Raw genomic sequence first — 18,089 nt, 5'->3', positions numbered from 1 at the left:
ATCTTACAGTGTTATAGAACACTAGAACTTATTCCTCCTGTCTAGATGTAGTTCTATAGCCATTAAGCCATCTCTGGCTGTCCTCCCACCCTTCCCTGCTTCTGGTCATCACTATTCTACCCTGTTCTTTTTTTTTTTTCATTAGAGACAAGGTCTTTCTTGGTCACCCAGGTTGGAGTGCAGTGGTGTGATCATGGCTCATTGCAGCCTCCAACTCCCGGGCTCCAGCGATCGTCCCGCCTTGGCCTCCCCAGTAGCTGTGACTACAGGCATGCATCCCACCACTACCAGCAAATTAAAAAAAAAAACAAAACTTTTTGTAGAGACGGGGTCCCACTATGCTGCCCAGGCTGGTCTCGAAATCCTGGGCTCAAGGGACCTCCTACCTCGACCTCGCAAAGTGCTGCGGTTACAGGTATGAGCCACAGCACCCAACTCGCTACTTCTATGCGATCGACTTTTTCAGCTCCCACATGAGTGAGATCATGAGCTATTTGTCTTTCTGTTCCTGGCTTTTTTCACTTAGCATAACATTCTCTAAACATCCTTGCTGCCGAGAATGACCATGAAGAGGTGAGCGGATAGATAAAACGTGGTATTAATATACACACACAGTGGAACACTGTTCATCCACATCCTCTTGTTGCAGGCTCAGGGAGGTGAGCGGGTGGGGAATTGATGCCGGGACCCGGGGAGGCAGCAGCGGACGTGGGCTCAGAACCCACGCCTGTGGTCTCCTGGCTCCCCGTGGCCCCCTCTTCAGAGCACTGGGCTGCGACCTGCACCCTCTGGTGTGGCGCGGCTGCCACAAATGGTTTGAATGGAGGGTGCTGAGAAGGGAGGGAGCATCCATCTCTGGTCCGGGATAGAGGAAACTGACGCAGGCCTCAGCTACACGGAGCTTCCCCAGCAAGGCAGGGCCTGGGCTTGGCAGGTGCTGCACCAGAGGAGTCTGAAGCCGAGGCAGGTGCCCGCCAAGCCTTCCAGGGACGGGGACAGGGAGGTGGGGAGCCGAGGGGTTCACTGCAGGCCCAGGAGCAAAGGCTACAGATGAATCTGGTGACTGTAAAACCTCAGGGACCAAGCGTTCGAACAGCCCCACCAGGGCAGATCGGGGACCAGGAAAGGCTGGGGACGGCTCAGGGGCCTGTCTGCCAGGCTGCGCTGCCTCTCCCACTCCCGTTAGCGCTGTCCCACCCCGCTGCGAGGCGAGCTGGAGGAGGGCTGACAGATGCATTCAAATATGGCTTGGTTCAAAGAATGAGCTTAATTAGGCATTTAAGCCCGTGGTTGTGAGTCCAGAGTTTTCCGATTTGGCGTGCGGTCTGGAATGTTGTGGAGCTCGTTTACAGAGGAGGAGCCAGAGAGTGGAAAGGGGTGAAGCAGATGGTCACATTGTTAGGCCTTACCCGCCCCTCCCAGCGCTCGAGGGAGAGGCGAGGTCCATTCCCCAGGCTGCTGGGCTCAAGTGGTGCGCGCCTCACTGTGCGGAGCTCTCAGTCCCGGGCCTGGCCCTGGACCCAGGACAGGGAGACTATCCAGACCTCCGGCACGCCCTGGGGTCTCCCAGAAGGTCAGGCTGGGAGGGCCTGCGGCACTGTACTCCAATGATCTGGGGCCACTGTCACACAGCAGGGAGCCTCTTAGTGACCTCTGTGGCACAGACAGCAGCCTCCCGGCACCGCCCCCTCCCCAGGCCGGACCTGCCTCCCAGGGACCCCCAGCCACTATCCAGGACCTGGAGAAGGCTGTCGACTTGGCAGCCCTAGAGAGGGAAGGCTGCAGCATAGTATCTTGGTCCTGGGCTCAGGGGATATCAAGAGCCATGGCTGGGACCTAGAGGGTTTCCAGGAGGTGCGAGTGTGGCCAGGGAGGAGAGTAGGCACCCCTCAGCAGAAGTGCAAGTGGCCTCCTCGCCCCTCCCTGCCCTGGACCCGCATTTTCTTCTCTGCCTGTTCTTCGGTTGCCCCTTCCTGTCTTTCCTCTCGGAGTCTCTCTTCTGCCTCCATTTCCATTACTCTTCGCCCCTATCGCTGCTTCCTTTTCTCTGCCTCTCCCAGTCTCTCTAGCTTCAGGCCAATCCAGGCCCATTTTTTTCTCCTTCCTCTACCTCCCAGCCTGGTGTCCAAGCCCTTTCCACTCAGCCCTCCTCCCCGGCATGTCCATGGGCCTCTCATCACCAGCACATTTCTGCTTCCAGCCTTTGCTCACCTAGAACGCCCTCGCACTCCTCTCTGCCTGTCCACAGCCACACGTTTCTGTGCCCCCACTTCTTGCTTCCTGGCATCCTTCTGGCAGGGCCAGCATGCCGGGCTCTGAGGAGGGGGCCTGTGCACCTGCCCAGCGGCACCTGCCACCCTGCAGCACCCGCCCAGCAGCACCTGCCTCTCCCGCTGAGTGCAGAGCAGCGTATCCAGCATCATCCTGCACAAAGACAGCTCCCTGCTGAGGAGGTGCTTGGGTGCTGTGGTTGAAATGATGACCCCCATTCAGTGGACACACAGATTCCAACAAGCCCCATGAGGGAGGAATGAAATGCTGCAGAAGCCCAGAGCTGGAGGCACTCCTGGGGAGTCACCGGGGCCCAGCCTCCTGCCACCAGCTGAAAGGGGAGCACGTGGAAGGCGGGCCTCGTTCCCTCCAGCACAGCTCACCAACTTACCCGTGCTTCTCAGAAAAGCCATGCGTCTCACCAACAATGCACTCAGCTGCTGCCACCTGGGAGGGCTGCCCCCAGGAGTGGCTCATGCAGCTCGACCCTGCCCCTGGGCCCTTCCATCTGGGGCTTGTAGCTGAACCTACCCTAGCTCTCTTCATGCGTGGGGTCTCCGAATGAATGGTGTGATGCTTTCTGAGTTTCAGCCACTCTGAGAAGGACTGCCTCCGAGGTGCCTTCAAAGTCCTCAAGGAGGGCAGTGTGGGCACCACAGAGCGCCCAGGCTGCTTTGAGTGGGAACACCACAGATGCAGCCCTGATCTAAGACCCGCTGGCTGCCTTGTGATGGGGCAGGGCGTGGGGGGCAGACAGACAGAAGTTTGTTTTATTTACATAGACACTCGAAGATGCAGAACGCTGAGTTCCTGGTGAAAGAGACCCTGCCTTTGGCAGGGCTGAGACTTGCCAGAGATGGGACTCACCACTTCTGGCTTGGGTGGGAAGAGTCTCTGGGGCCTGTGGCTTGGGCAGAGGGCAGCCCAGGGTGCCCCAGGCCCAGCCTTCCTTCTCCAGGGCACTCATGTCTTCCAGGGGCCACCTGTGCCTGCCACTGCCTGGTGCCCCACAGGGCCTGTGTTGTGAATCGGGGTGTTTTTTTTTTTTTTGAGACGGAGTCTCGCTCTGTCGCCCAGGCCGGACTGCGGACTGCAGTGGCGCAATCTCGGCTCACTGCAAGCTCCGCTTCCCGGGTTCACGCCATTCTCCTGCCTCAGCCTCCCGAGTAGCTGGGACTACAGGCGCCCGCCACCGCGCCCGGCTAATTTTTTGTATTTTTAGTAGAGACGGGGTTTCACCTTGTTAGCCAGGATGGTCTCGATCTCCTGACCTCATGATCCACCCGCCTCGGCCTCCCAAAGTGCTGGGATTACAGGCGAATCAGGGTGTTTAAATCACCACCTGCTTCTGGGGACTGTGCAACTCCACAGGAAGGCAATGTTGCCCCTTACCTGCCAGCCCTGTTATGAGTGGGAGGGGCCTCTGGCCTCCATCACAGACAGAGGGGCTGAGGCCCAGAGTGGGCACGCGTCCAGGTGCAAGCCTGGAGAGCTGGCTGTGCTGGAGGGCAGCCTCTTTTTCTGCGATTTGGCTGTGGGGTTGCTGGGAGCACAAGGCAGTTCTGAGGATGGATGGGCAGGGTTCCAGCTGCTCAATCTGTCATTGCAAATCAGTGCTCCCTCGATGTCACTGGGCTTCTGAGGGGTCTGCTGGAGGGGCCAGTGCCTAAGTGGAGGGGGAGGGGAGCACAGCCGAGGGGCTCTTGGGGGGACTCGGTGGGTCCCTCCTGACACCCAATGCTGAGGCCTCCCAGGAGTGGCGGGTGTCCTGCAGGCACAGGGCAGGGGCCACTCTGCATCTCAGCTCTGTGCTCACCCATGGCTGGGTCTTGGCCAAGTTGTTTAACTGCCTTGGCCTCCTCCTGACCTATGAGAGGCTGATCATCACATGGTAAGTGAGATCCTTCACTTAGCCGTGCCTGGCCCACAGGAAGCATTCAGCAAACAACTGCCATCCCTGTCACTGATATTCTCACTAAAGGCTCCCGCTGGGCACTGACGGAGCCATGACTGGGTCCACAGCAGCTCTCATTTGGACACAAGCTCGGCTCCAGCCCATCTCAACTAACAGCAGAAGGAGAGGAAAGAGGCTGCCTTACAGCATGATGGATGGAGGTTAGATACGTAGGGGACTTCCCGATGGGGTGGCCCTCTGAGAAAGATTCTGTCCAGCACTCTTTGAGGGCAAGAGGGGTCATGGTGGGAGGAAGGCCAAAATGACCAAGGTGTACCCCCCAACACCCAGCACTCCTTTCTACACCAGGTCCTCCTCAACGGGAGAGGTGAGATGCGCTCAGGGTCTGGGCAGCTCCCTGGAGGCTCCTTTGTCTCAGCTGGGACAGGAGGGCATTTGAGGAGGGCTGGCTCCTATTTGGCTCCAGCTGTGCCCCCACCCTGCAGAAGCTGGCCAGGCTTGCGGGTGGGGGTGAGGCTTTTGGAGATCTCTCAGCCAGGAGGAGTGGGAGGAGAGCAGGGTGGACACGCTGGCTGGTCTAGAGCAAAGTGAGCTCCAGAGAGCTGAGTCAGCCTCGGGAGCAGGCGCTCGGCCAGTGGGCACCTGTACTCTGGCCTCGCACCCCTTAGGCACTCCATCTTGGGATTCCTGATGTCATCTATTTTGTCACGCAGGATATGGGGGGTCCTGGGAGGAGAGTCTGTTAACACCAGGCCTGGCAGGAGGTTCCGGAGGCCCCTGTGAGTTCTGTGTTCTGGACACACGGTGATGCAGCTGGAGGCCGCTGCCCGGTAGGGGCGGTGGGGGCATGTCTGGCTCAGGAGCCTGGTGACCATGCAGAGCGTGGGCTGGGCGCCACCTCCTCCACTCCACTCTGCTGCCTCCCACTCTGGGCTGTCTGGAAGCTTAATGTGCCTGGGTCTTCCCCATGGGGAATCTGGAACCCAGAGAGGTTGGGTGACCCGTGAGAGGTGAGCTCCCAGCTCAGAGAGACTTGAAGCTGCTCCTGCCCCCCCGGACTCTGTGTGTGATGAACATGCATCGCCTGAGAGATGAAAGAGCAGCGCCCTGCCTCCTGTTTCTGTCTCCCGATGTGAGAAACACGTTTCTCCTCCTACTCACTGTCATCCCCAGAGACAGGGTTTGGTGCGTGGGAGGCACAGACCTGTGGACTCAGTTTGTGGTGTGGTTTTGTTACTGTTACTGTCTCCTGCTGGTGACAGGATCCCAGGCCAGCAGCACGGAATTCTGCCCATCTCCCATGCCCAGAGGCCGGGCGGACTTTCAGGCCAGGCCGTGTGGGTACCGATGCTGCTGCGGGAGGCCGTGAGAGCCTCTCAGGGGCTGTGTCTCCTGTCCTTTTTTCCCTTGTGCCCAGTGGGAGCTCCTTGAGAGCAGAGACTGTGTGACTCATTGTAACCCCACGGCCAAGCACTCAGCACACTGCAGACCCTGTCCCCACCATGCCCACATCTGCTTGGCACCCATCATTCCCATGCCCACTGTGGCCCTTTCTCCCAAGGGCCTCTTTTGGAACAAGAGTGGGCTTGGTCTGTGTGGGGCAGCCCAGGAGTTTTGGTGACTCCATGCCCCCAGGAGCCAAGGATGGACCAGAGCGGGTCCATGCATCCTCCAGCCCACCTGCCCCCAGGGGGACAGCCTAAGGCCTGCCCTGCCCACCTCCCCAGTATGCCCTCAGCAGCAGCCTGCTCATTGTCACACCTGTCCTGGCTGCTGTCCCTTTCCTCCCGCGTGGGTGTTTCCCAGGATCACCATCTACACTGCCTGCTTGGGTCCAAGTCCTTACCGTAGGGTCTGGCCTGGGGAAGTTTGCAGAATGCTGGGGGATGAGTGCGGGGCTCAAGGGACAGACATGTGAAAGGAAAATCCAATCTTAGGGCCCCAGACTCACTATGCCAAGGGAAAAGGGAAGCTTGGAAACTGAGTCCTTCTTTTCTTCTCTGAAGAGATAGCTGCAGTGATAGAAGGCCATACGTCTCCCCAGGTGGCTTTCCTCACTGATTAATCACAAGGGAATTCCTTGTGGGCCCCCAGATCTTTCAGAATCCGCATGTCCCCTCTAAACTAGCTCTCAAATGAGTTCTGTGGAATCTGACGCTGACAACGTCAATGACCAGCTCACCTTCACAGCTATGGGACAAAGACGGGCCGAGACATTCCTCCACTCACCCTGAGACAAACGCATCTGGCTTCTTTCTCTGCTCCATGCTTTACTTTATTTTACTTTATGTAAAGTGCAGATTTACTGAGCACAAAATGAATGCATAATTGGCCGTTTCTCTACCCTCCTGCCACTGCAACAAGTGGACTCAGTGAGCGCTAATCAAAGCCTCAGAAGCACGTGACCACTCTCCTCACTACCTACCAGCCCTTTTTCTTTCTTTCCTCCTTCCCCTCCTGCTGCTCTTTCCCCTTTAAAGATCGACGTCCTCCAAACCCTCTTTGGAAAAAGCACAGGCCACAGATCCTACTTGTGTCTCTTTTTCCTGGGTGTGTCCTCAACCTTGGCAGAATACACTCTGAGTTGACTGAGACCCGTCTCAGATGCTTTTTGGTTTACAGGCACCTTGAAGAAGCCACTGCTCTCTGGGGCAGGTGGAGGATGGCCCTTCTGCTGTGCACGGCATCCTCTTCAGCCTTGGGAGGCCCCTCTGGCTGGGGCACATGCTGATGTCTGAGCACAGATGCACAGCAGCCTTCTCGGTTGTCCCCAGCAACTGCGGGTGTTGGCTTCGTCCTCTGTTCTGTCCATGCAAGCGTTCTGGAAACTTGGTGTCTTTTGGGGAGAACACAGTCATCTTGTTTGAGAAACCATCTTCCCCAAGGAATCATGGATGACAGTGAGCCTGGCTGTGCTACCTCCACCGGGGAGAATTCTAGGGGGTAAATCGTATCACTATTGGCAGGTGACACTACAGGCATTTCATCATTCTGGCGGATGGGCTCGGGTACAATTACAGAAGGCTATGTCAGGCTTGGAGATCGATAGGCTAGGGAAAGCAATCCTTAAAAACAAAACCAAACAAAACAGGAATTGCAGATGCATTTTCAGTTAGACTGACTAAGTGGATGGCGATACCTCTGACTGTGGAGAGCGGAATTGTATGTCTTGATGTCGTCCAGCAAGTCCCATCCGTGGAGGGCACAGCCTGTCCTCAGTCCCTTAACACTGGCTTGGAAAACAGCCACAAGCCCCAGGGAACTGGAGGAGGCCAAACTCACAGCTTCTTAAATACGGAGAGAATCGTCGTCATCCTCCAAGAACAGCAGAAGCCTGGGCAAGGCTGATCTACACGTGCCTACCACATCTGTCTCCATCTCGGCTCCCCACTTCCTTCCTGCCACCCCTCCCTTCTTTCTTCTTCCTTTCCTTCCTTTTCCCTTCCTTTCTTCTTTCTTTCCCACCTTCTTCCTTTCCTTTCCTTTCTCTTGAAGAACAATGGAAAAATCTCAGGAAGACTGGAACTCGGGCATGGCATGATGAAGTTCTGTCTGGGCAGTGGGATTGGGGTCTTCCTCCTGAAGGGTACTGTGGGGTCTTCAGCGCCTTATCTCACCAACAGCTTGGCTGAGTGTGCCCAGATCTGTGCACTGTGGTAAGGCTAACCTTTACACCTCTAGATAGTTCCTGGATGCAAACCTTGAGAAATCAACTTGGAGAACGAGCTAAGTTTCCGTTGTCCAGAGCTCAGGTGCTGGGACAGGTGGCACCCAGGTGAGTGTGGGTGGGAGGTGCACAGGGCTTGGGGAAAAGGGGGCTCTCTTTGACAGAGGCCCCAAAGCACACAAGCCTCTGGAGCTTGCCCCCATTTCTTCTCCACTCCAAAGCCCTCCCTTCTCCCATGCCCATGTCTGCCCATCTGGGCATTGCTGGAAACCCCATGGGCGGAGGTTGTACTGCACAACTGTCTTGTGCATGGCTTTATTCCCAGAGCTTGACACAATGTCTGGCCTGTAGTAGGTGCCCAGGAGATATTGTTGAACTAGGAGGCCAGGCCTAGAGACCCTTCCCAGGTTCCTCTGGAAGGTGCCTGAACGCTGTGCCTGTAGGCTCTCCGGCTCTCTTTGTTCTGAGTCATTTTTCTCCAGGCAAAAGCACAGTTTCTGACAAGCAGTCCTAAAGTCTACATGAGACCTATATATGAGTGCAGCCCGCCCAGGGTCAGGAGCTAGGTGTAGATCTCCCTCAGCCTGTCAGTTGAAAGTGGTGCATAATTAAATATCATTAAATGGACTCAGAGGCATCCAACTTCATTACCACGAGCGCCTGTTGCACTTGAGTAATTGCGGGGGCTTGGCAGGAGGAAGCAGTCTCAGGGCAGAGCCTCCTGTCTGCAGGGGGTTCCTGGGGCTTCCCCATCCCCGCCTTCCCTGGATCTCCAGCCTGGTCCTGTTGGGCCACATGCCGTGCCCTGGGTGCTCTCCAGATGGGAGGAGCCTCCCGATACTTGTTGAGCAAGGCTTGTGCCTGCACCTGTGCTTCAACCCAGCAGCCCTGCAGGAATACTGCCAGCTCCCCCACTGTAGGTGAGGATTTCCATTCAGAGAACAGAGGGACCGAGGCAGGATTTGAATCCAAGCCTAGTTGGCTCCCAAGCTCAGCTGGCTCCCAAGCCCACACCCTCACAGGGCTACCCACGACCTCCAGATGGGGAGGAGCTGGGAGAATGGCTGAGGCCGCAGCAGAAGTGCTGGGTCTGGAGTCCATCAGCCTCCAGCTCTGCAGGAAGCATGAGGCAGGCCAGGCCACTCTGCGGGGGAAAGGCAGAGGACCCTGCTGTCCTGAGGGCAGTGGCTGGCCCCCAGCTCACCATGCCAGGCCACAGTCACCCAGCGGGGTCCCAGAGTGTGGCAGGAACCACCTCTTCCCCTTGGCCTTGCGCTTAGAAAGCAGGCTGTATGATGCCGTGTGTGTGCATATCTTGCTCACCAATGCCTCCAATTCCGTGTTTGAAATTCAACCCTTGGGGTTAAGCAAGTTCTGGTTCACGTTTCTCTTAAAATACAGATCTTCCAGCCATATGTGGAGTCGCTGGTGGAGTCTTATCTCTCTCTCCAGAGTGTGTCCCTGCAGTGGAGGCTGGCCTTTCATCTCAGCACCAGGGTGCCCAGGGCCCAGTTGATCCAGGAAGTTTGTTGAATGAATGAGTGATTGGCACATTCTGGGCAGGTGAGACTCTGGGCTCCTGGGGTCGAGGAAGGAGGTTGCTGATAGTGGACTCCCTGCAGTCACCAAGCTCCTTTGGGCTGAATCAGCTCAGGTTTCAGCCCTGGTCCCTCTGAAGGGGAGAGAAAGTGTGTTGAAAAGACAAATGCTTCTGTGTATATGTGGTGTACTCTTCAACTTTCCAGCAGTTTTAGACAATTCTCTCCCTTCCTCATTTCCAGGAGACTGTCTGGCCCAGAAGAATGCCTGGTTTCCCTCAGGGCAGGGCACTCCCCTGTGCAGACAGGCGGGCATGGAGCAGAAACAGCCAGGGTGGACGAGCTTTTCAGCAGCATGAAGGCAACAGCCGATTTGTTCACAGTCGAGAGTGAAGGAATGAATTTACGAGAACCTGCATGAACTATGTGATCATAGTGTTGGTGGTCAGACTGTGAGGCACAGGAAGATGGATCAGAGGGTCAAAGGGGCACCATCTACAGCTCATTTCCCCGTCCTCCAACCAATGGGCCTGCCCCAGACCTGCTCCCCTGTCCCTGGGGAGGAGGAGGATATTCCAGACTCACGGACCTGAACCTCTCTGGGCATATGTCCAGTCTCTGTCCTGCAGAGATGCCTTGGGCCTCCCATTTCAACAGCATCCTTCCCCTGATGTGGGAAAGAATTTCCTAATCGCCCTCACCTCTGGCTTCAGGTCCATGCAACACAAGCCCTGTTTCGGGCCTCCTGTGTTCAGGCTCCTGAGCACGGCTTCCCTTTTTGAAACCAGGTATTCGCTGTTTCCTGCATATCAGTGGCTGTGAAATTCTACAGAAAGGCCAAGGGAGAGGCAGGGAGAGAAGCCAAGGAGACAGAGTCCTATGGGCTTCAGGGAGCACCTGCCCCCAGGGCTGTTCCAGGAGCCGGACTGGCCCTTCAGTAGATTTCCACCCTCTCTAGTTGGGGTGGATGGCTGTTCCCTGGGTGCCACCCTAGAGGCTGGGGACTTCAGCTGCCAGAACTAAGGAGGCTCAAGAACCTGCAGAGAACTTAGGGGCTGCCCAGGTCTGAAGCAGGGGCACAGGGGGTGGGGAGGGAGGGAGGAGTTGTGGAAGTGAGCTCTGAGCAAGTTCTGCTGCTTCCTCTAGGAAGGCTGTGCCCAAGGGCCTAATGCTTCTATGCTGGGGTTGAGGATGACTGGAGCATGTGGGTGTGTGTGGTGTGTGTGTGTATGTGAGTGCCTGTGATTCTATGTGAGCCTGTGTTAGCTTTGTGCCAGAAGCTGACAGGTGTGCCTGTGTGTGTGCGTGTGTGTGTGTGCGCACTTGTACCTGTGGGGGTTTTTGTGTGTATTCTGTGTGTGCACTTGCCTGTGTGGGTGCTGTGTGCACTCACATCTGTGTGTGTCCTTGTGTGTGCTCATGTTGTGTGTGTGTGCTTGTGCTGTGTGTGTTTCTCTGAGTCCGCGTGTGCGTGTTCCCAGAAAACTGAGCACCGCTGCTCTCTCCTCAGGAAGTTATTTTTCTTCCCCCACTCTTGCTAATTTATCTTTTCCCCACCAACTCCATCCGACACGGGAATGTGTGCCCTGTCGTGGCCCTTCTGTTTCCAAGGGAGGCTGGTGTTGCCTGCAGAAGCATCTTGTGAGTTGTGGGAGGGGCCACATGGAAGGCCAGACATGGGAGTGAAGTGTGAAGCACCAGCCTTCCTGACTTCCAGACCCAGGTCAGCCTCCCGCCTCTCCTCCTGCTGAATCTTTCTGATCCTGCGGTTTCTCCTCTCTGAAACGGGGATGCTGATGGTTCCATAATCAAAGTCCTGTGCTGATTCATTGCAATGATGACTGTTTAGCCCCAGCTGCAGGTGAGACATGGGGCAGAGGCTCTGGGGATGTCTGTTTTGGTCCCTCAGGGACGGCACGCTGATGTTTGTTCTGGCGGATGTGCTAGGGAGATATACATTTTGAGTGCATTTCTAGTTGCATCTGGGGTCAGAGACAAAAGTGGGAGTGGACTCAGGCCCTGGGGAATTCAGTCTGCATGGGAAAACATGCCATGTCACTTAATTTCATTACAATATTAACAGAAGCTAATAAAAGTGATGAGGAATGATAGCAGCCAGGACGACAGCAGGTCACACCTGCTGAGGGCTTGCTGTGTGCCACCCTCTGAGCCATCTATGTCACTGTAATCCGTCATTCCCCAGCATCCCTGTGACACCCCCAAGAATTGGACTGTCATGCCCTTGTTTTACGCGCTGGAAAATGGAGCTGTACGTCTGCCTATGTGTTCCATCATTTATAAGATGAAGTCAAGAGCAAAGGTGTGGCCGGGCTCACGCCTGTAATCCCAGCACTTTGAGAGGCTGAGGTGGGTGGATCAGCTGAGGTCAGGAGTTCAAGACCAGCCTAACCAATATGGTGAAACCTGTCTCTACTAAAACTACAAAAATTAGCTGGGCATGGTGGCGAGCACCTGTAGTCCCAGCTGCCCAGGAGGCTGAGGAAGGAGAATCACTTAAGCCCGGGAAGCAGAGATTGCAGTGAGCCCAAATCGCACCACTGCACTCCAGCCTGGGCAACAGAGCAAGAGTCCGTGTCAAAAAAAAAAAAAAATTGCAGTGACCCAGATCGCGGCACTCTACTCCAGCCTGGGTGATAGAGCAAGACTCCACAAAAAAAGAAAAAATAAAAAAGATTGAGTGTGACATGGGAAAGCAGGGGTTGGCAGTCGGCTTGGGGCTTGGGCTCAGTTGTTCCCATGAGTAGAGGCAGGCCATTTTCTTGAATTCTCACCAAGTGCTGCCGTGTTTCTTAGCTTCAGTGGTTTCCATATCACCACGGTGCTTCTGATTCACTCCTTCTCTGCCTGGGTACTGTGATTGTCCAAGCCTACCAGGCAGACCCAGACCCCAGGGAGAGGGCCAGTGTTCTGCTTAGCAGGGACTGAGTCATAGCTGTTTGCCAGGCAGGTAGCTGGCGGACCAGGGACACCCGTTATGGTGAGAGACGCCATTCATTTATCATTGCCTCTTCCCTCCTAGACGCAGATTAGTGACATTGCTTCTGACAGCTCTAAACACGCTAATGTCATTACAGCTGAGCCCAGGAGTGCCCCTAGAGTTAAGGAGCTGCTGGTGCTTTGATTATAAACACCATTTTTCAGAGGTGTATAAGGCTGCCATTTGAAATCACATTAGGCTGAAACTTGAGAGAGAGGTTGTCAGCTTGGCTGCATTGGGAAATAAAAATTTCAATAAAATTCTTAATTTGTCTCAAGCCTTGTCCTAGGGACTTTTGACAGGATGAGGGTCTGGGCCATGGGTAGAACTGGGGTGCCCTGGGAGGAGACAGGATCTGAGTGTCCAGTGCCGGGAAATGTGTGGGACCTGCCGTTTTCCTGTGCACACTTGCTGCAAAAGCGGCTTGGGGTTTCTGGGCTTTCACAGCTGGACCATTTTCAGAGGCTGGCCACTGTCCCCTCTGTTCAGGGAATGTAGGCAAATGGCTTTATCAGGGATGGGTGATGGTTTTTGACCTGAGATGCCTTCAGAAGGCCACCTGGTGAGCTGGCAGTTTGCAATTAAATAAGAACGCCGTTTGTGTTCCATTCTAATTGGATTTTTGTGATTTTGGCCTCCCCTTTTCTTTTTCACTGGGTCTCTTTCTCTAATTTTTAAAGGCTTTTGCTTTTGCCCCCTCCTTCCTGCTTGTCTGTTCCTGTCGGTCTGTGCACCTGGTGGCCTCCCTATCTGTGCCATCTGACTGCTGTCTCTTTCTCTCTGTCTTGAGTCCCTCCACCTCCCCCTCTCATTGCCTGTCTCTCCCTTTGCCTCACTCTCTTGTCTGCTTTATTCATTGAACAAACACTGGCACAGCCCTTCATGCATCCCAGGCATAGCTCTATATACTTTACAAATATTAACTCATGTCATTTTCACCAAAAAAAAAAAAAAAAAAAAAAAAGCCACACGGAGAGAACTGCAATTGGCTTAATTTTACAGTTGAGGAAACTGAGGAACAGAGATGTAAGCAGCTTGCTTGAAGTCCCACAGCAAGCAAGAGGCAGAGCTGGGAGTTTAAAATCTCCCAAGTCTATGCTCTCTTCCTCTGTGTCTTTCAGGAAAAAAAACCGAACAGAACAAAACTAGACCGGGTATGGTAGCTCACGCCTGTTAAGTCCAGCACTTTGGGAGGCTGAGGCAGGAGGATCACTTGAGGCCAGGAGTTTGGGACCAGCCCGGGCAACATAGCAAGACCCCTATCTCTACAAACAACAACAATAGCAGCAGCAAAATCCCACTAAAATAATAAAATGTAAGTAACGCCTGGCCACCCAGACTCAAGGCTGCCACAGGCCTTTGCATTGGTGTTTGTCCTGGGGCCTCCAAAGCCCTCCCAGCTCCCTCTGCTCATCTTACTCTGGGAGATCATCTGTCTACCTGGTTAAGCTTGAGCCTCAGCATCTGGGGTTCAGAGGGCCTTTGCAGGTTTCACTGGTGGGGGGTCTGGGGAGTCAGAGGCAGGTGGCAGGCTAAGAGGTGAGAATCAACAGCCCCCTTTTCTGCAAGCTTCTAGCAGATGCGTGGAGAAACCCCTGGTGAAGCAGAAGGTCCTGCCTACCTTGCAGCAGGGGTCTCCCCAGGCCCACTCCATGGAGGGCCATCCTGCTCCCCACCCACTTCCCTGCCCACAGCAGAGTGAGCCCCAGGAAGACTGAAGCCTTGATACATCATGCTGCCATCTCTCAAAAGCCTCTTGTAAGCTCCTGGATCAATAGTGCAGCTCTGCCAAGTCTCAGCAAGATACCCCACCTCTTCGAGTAACAGAGTTTGTCACTTATATATATATATATATATTTTTAAGGCAGGGACTATAAATCCCATCTAAAAATGAAAAACTAAGACCTAGAGAGGTAAAGCAATTTGTTCAAGGTCATCCTGCTAAACAGTGCTAGTGCTGATATTTCAATCCAAGCCTGCCTGACTTCGTTTCTCAGTGTGTTTCACTTAGCCCCACACCGAGGGCCTCTGTGACACGGGGGAATAGTAAGGTAGATTAACTGCTGTAACAAATAACCCCCAAATCCCTGTAGCTTAGCACAATACAAGTTTACTTACAACTGCTGAAACAGACTAATGTGGGTCAAGTAGATCTTCCGGGTGGCTGCTGTCCAGGCGGTGACTCAGGGACCCAGCCTCCTTCCACATTGTGGCTCTGCCATCACCTTGGGCCACAGGTTCCTCTGCTGGGTTTGTATATCTACCCAGCAGACAAGGAGAGAGTGGAGGGTGAAGTAGGAAGTTGTAGCAGGCTGGGCCTGCAAGCAGAGTCCATCACTTCTGCTATACCCCATTGTCCAGAATTCAGACACTAATGGCGAAGGAGACTGGGAAATACCTAGTTTTGTGTGCAGAGGAAAAGAGAAATTGTTTGGTGAACAACAATCTAGTCTCTCCCACAGGAGGCCTAGTGTGTGTTTCCAGTCTCATATTATGACTTCTTGGTCACCATCTATTGTATTGTATTGTATTGCATTGCATTGTATTATTTGTTCACTGTTTTTCCTTCGCTCCCCACACTTTTCCAGGCTCACTGTAAGCAGAGAGTACTTCTCTGCCCTACTGACTTGCTCCTCCTACTGAGCAGGCCACGTGACTTGCTCCAACGAATGGAATGTGTGCAGATATGTATGTCACATCCAGCCAGAGGCTTTCAATATGATTGAACCTGGACTCTTGCCCTCTTGCCTTGCACTTGGAGAAGAATGTGCTCCAGGTAAGTACTGCTCCTCCAGCCCAAGTCCTGGAATGAAAGACATGCCAGCAGACCTGACTTTGACCAGCAGTCTAGCATACAGACATCTCAGCAACCAGACAACTGTGAGCAAAGAAACGAATTCTCATTGTTGTAGGCTGCTACTGTTAGGAGTTGTTTGTTATGCAACATTATCATGGCGCTAGCTGACCTGAATAACCTACTGGCATGATAGAGTCATGGCCACAGTCCCTGAGCACACCCTGCTGTCCTGCACCTCCATGATGTCACCTCCATGATGATGTCTTCTGTTGTGTTGTTGCCCCTCACTAAAAGCCTCTCTCTCTCTTTCTTTCTTTCTTTCTCTCTCTTTCTTCCTTCCTTCCTTCCTTTCTTCTTTCCTTCCTTCCTCCCTTCCTTTATCTCTTTCTTTCTCTCCTTCCTTCCTCCCTCCCTCCCTCCCTCTTTCTTCCTTTCTTTCTTTTCTTTCTTCCTTCCTTTCTCTCTCCTTCTCTTTCTTTCTTTTCCTTCCTTCCTTTCTCTCTCTCTTTCCCTCTTTCTTTTTCTCTTTCTTTCTTCCTTTCCTCCTTCCTTCCTTTCTTTCTCTTTCTTTCTTCCTTTCTTCCTTCCTTCCTTCTTTCCTTCTTTCCTTTCTTTATCTCTTTCTTTCTCTCTCTTTCTCCTTCCTTCCTTTCTTCTTCTTTTCTTTTTCTTTCTTTCTTTCCTTTCTTTCTTTCTTTTCTTTCTCATTCTTTCTTTCTCTCTCTTTTCCTTCCTGCCTTCCTTCTTTCCTCTCTTTCTCTTTCTTTCTGTCTCTCTCCTTCCTTCCTTCCTTCCTTCCTTCCTTCCTTCCTTCCTTCCTTCCTCTCTTTCTCTTTCTCTCTCTCTCCTTCCTTCCTTCCTGCCTTTCTTCCTGCCTTCCTTCCTCCCTCCCTCCCTCCCTCTCTCCCTCTCTCTCTCTTTCTTTCTTTCTTTTTTTCTTTTTCTTCTCTCTTTCTCTTGATCTCTCTCTTTCCTTGGGAAACAGGGTCTTGCTCTATTGCTCAGACTGGAGTACAGTGGTGCTCCTAGCTCCTAGCTCACTGCAGCCTCAAACCCTTGGGCTCAAGTAATTCTCCTGCTTCAGCCTCCTGAGTAGCTGGGACTACAGGCATGCACCACCATGCCTGGCTAATTTGTAATTTTTTTTGTAGAGATGGGGTTCTTACTATGTTGTCCAGGCTGGTCTCAAATTTTCCTACATTAGTGGGTCCATTACTAACCTCAAGCAATCCTTCCTCCTCAGCCTCCCAAAGTGCTGGGATTATACACATGAGCCACTGCACCTGGCCGAAGCCTTTCTTTATGACCTCTTCAGAGCCCATGCCAAAGATAGACCCTTTGACAGAACTTCTCTTAATGTTCACAATTCTTAGGGTCTCAGAAGAGGCAGAGACAGCTAATACTTTAGCTCCAGCCTTGTCCACATTTTGCCTGAGTGATCCTGTATTTCTTCACTTGCTAGAGAGTGCAGCTTTTGGAGGCAGGAGCTGCACTGGCTTCCTCTTTCCTCTAGCCACTACTCCTGTGCCCCACAGGCAGTAGATGGTCAGATAGTGTTTGCTAAACTGGATTGACTTGAATGTCTGTCCCTTTATAATGCGAGGCCCATAAGGGCACATTGAGAGCTGGCAGGCATCCCTGGCAGCACTGGGCTCCATGCTTAGAGCTTAGATGATGGATCTGTCATTGCCCATGAGGACGAGAGAGGCTGGGCTGCCTCCAGCACTCTTGGCTGGAGGCCTGGCTTAGCACAAACGTGATCCCTCTCACTCTCCTCAAGCTCTTGGCATCTAGAGCCTGTGTCAGGAGGGAATGATGCAACCTCATACACCTTGGTCCAGACATGCCTTGGAGAAGCCAGCAGGCTGCATTAGCAAAGATCTCTGACTGCCCATGTCATGCTCCTACCATGGTTCTCAGAGCACAGGTTTGAGCTGAGGTTGTGGTCCTGTGCTACAGGGAAATATTTTTCGCAACATGATGCGTGAGGCTGCCTCAGTGTTGGCATTTGTGGACTTGGTGACAGGAGCTTCTCTGGGCTCAGCCATGCTTCTCCTAAAGTGAGTGGTTTCTGGACCAGCCCTGGACTGTGGTGGCTACTCAGGCCCTACGAGACCTCGTTCAGCTAAAGGCTGTAGATGCATGGAGGCACCTGAGCCACGTGCATGAGAGCTGGGCAAAATGTGAGGTTGCTGCACAGCAATGCAGTGAAGCCTCACCTGCTCAGTATCTTACTAAAGGCAACTCAGCGATCATAGAAGGACTCTCCTGCTTCTCCATGCACAGAGAGAAATGCGTGACACAGACTTAGCTTCTGGGGGGACTCGGGTTGTTTTAGTCATCCATTGCTGTATAATGCATCACCCAAAGTTAATGACTTAAAACAACAATCAATATTTATTTCTTACTCTTTTTTGTTTTACTTTTTTTTTCTCTTTCTGACAAATGATCTCGTCACCCAGGTAGTGAGTATGGTACCCAATAGGTGTTTTTCAGCCCATGCCCTCCCTCCTTCTTTCCCCCCCAGTAGTCCCCAGTGTCTATGGTTCCTATCTTTATGTCCATGTGTACTCACGATTTAGCTCCCACTTATAGGTGAGAACGTGTGGTATTTGGTTTTCTGATCCTTCATTAGTTCTCTTAAGACAGTGGTCTCCAGCTGCATCCATGTTGCTGCAAAGGACATGATTTCATTCTTTTGGATGGCTGTGTAGTATTCCGTGGTGTATATGTGCCACATTTTCCTTATCCAGTCCATTGCTGATGGGCACCTGGGTTGAACAATGAACACTGATTATCAGCCTTTCTGAGTCAAGAGTTTCTGGGTCAAGGATTTGGTGGCTTGGCATGGAGTTCTGGCCCAGGGTTTCTTGTGAGGTTGCAGTCACATAAAGCCTCACCTA

The 18,089-nt window shown here is 53.3% G+C and overlaps 1 long non-coding RNA gene across 1 annotated transcript in view, besides 6 other annotated features; it reads left to right on the top strand.

Annotated features, from left to right (window-relative positions):
• VSTM2B-DT (VSTM2B divergent transcript) overlaps positions 1-18,089 on the top strand; it is a 238,742-nt gene that overhangs the window by 119,165 nt on the left and 101,488 nt on the right. Inside the window, exons 4-9 of the long non-coding RNA NR_040029.2 lie at positions 7,872-7,961; positions 9,255-9,416; positions 9,635-10,179; positions 11,003-11,252; positions 13,511-13,704; positions 14,978-15,165. This is a non-coding gene — a long non-coding RNA (VSTM2B divergent transcript). The remainder of the gene's footprint in view (positions 1-7,871; positions 7,962-9,254; positions 9,417-9,634; positions 10,180-11,002; positions 11,253-13,510; positions 13,705-14,977; positions 15,166-18,089) is intronic.
• Positions 1,112-1,738: an enhancer, noted in NCBI's record as "H3K4me1 hESC enhancer chr19:29895755-29896381 (GRCh37/hg19 assembly coordinates)". NCBI's record gives its function as "activates a minimal SCP1, AML or CMV promoter by ChIP-STARR-seq in primed H9 embryonic stem cells {active_cell/tissue: H9 hESC(primed)}" and the evidence as "EXISTENCE:reporter gene assay evidence [ECO:0000049][PMID:30033119]".
• Positions 1,112-1,791: a biological region, named in NCBI's record as "H3K4me1 hESC enhancer GRCh37_chr19:29895755-29896381".
• Positions 1,386-1,555: an enhancer, noted in NCBI's record as "experimental_50821 CRE fragment used in MPRA reporter constructs". NCBI's record gives its function as "activates a minimal promoter by MPRAs in K562 erythroleukemia cells, with activity observed for both the introgressed and non-introgressed 19:29896023 variant alleles {active_cell/tissue: K562}" and the evidence as "EXISTENCE:reporter gene assay evidence [ECO:0000049][PMID:34662402]".
• Positions 1,622-1,791: an enhancer, noted in NCBI's record as "experimental_50815 CRE fragment used in MPRA reporter constructs". NCBI's record gives its function as "activates a minimal promoter by MPRAs in K562 erythroleukemia cells, with activity observed for both the introgressed and non-introgressed 19:29895787 variant alleles {active_cell/tissue: K562}" and the evidence as "EXISTENCE:reporter gene assay evidence [ECO:0000049][PMID:34662402]".
• Positions 8,274-8,443: an enhancer, noted in NCBI's record as "experimental_50793 CRE fragment used in MPRA reporter constructs". NCBI's record gives its function as "activates a minimal promoter by MPRAs in K562 erythroleukemia cells, with activity observed for the non-introgressed 19:29889135 variant allele {active_cell/tissue: K562}" and the evidence as "EXISTENCE:reporter gene assay evidence [ECO:0000049][PMID:34662402]".
• Positions 12,647-12,816: an enhancer, noted in NCBI's record as "experimental_50790 CRE fragment used in MPRA reporter constructs". NCBI's record gives its function as "activates a minimal promoter by MPRAs in K562 erythroleukemia cells, with activity observed for both the introgressed and non-introgressed 19:29884762 variant alleles {active_cell/tissue: K562}" and the evidence as "EXISTENCE:reporter gene assay evidence [ECO:0000049][PMID:34662402]".

Source organism: Homo sapiens, chromosome 19, assembly GCF_000001405.40.
Source record: "Homo sapiens chromosome 19, GRCh38.p14 Primary Assembly".
Classification (NCBI taxonomy): domain Eukaryota; kingdom Metazoa; phylum Chordata; class Mammalia; order Primates; family Hominidae; genus Homo; species Homo sapiens.
Note: the sequence above shows the minus strand (reverse complement) of the source record. Positions and strands in the feature narration are given on the sequence as shown.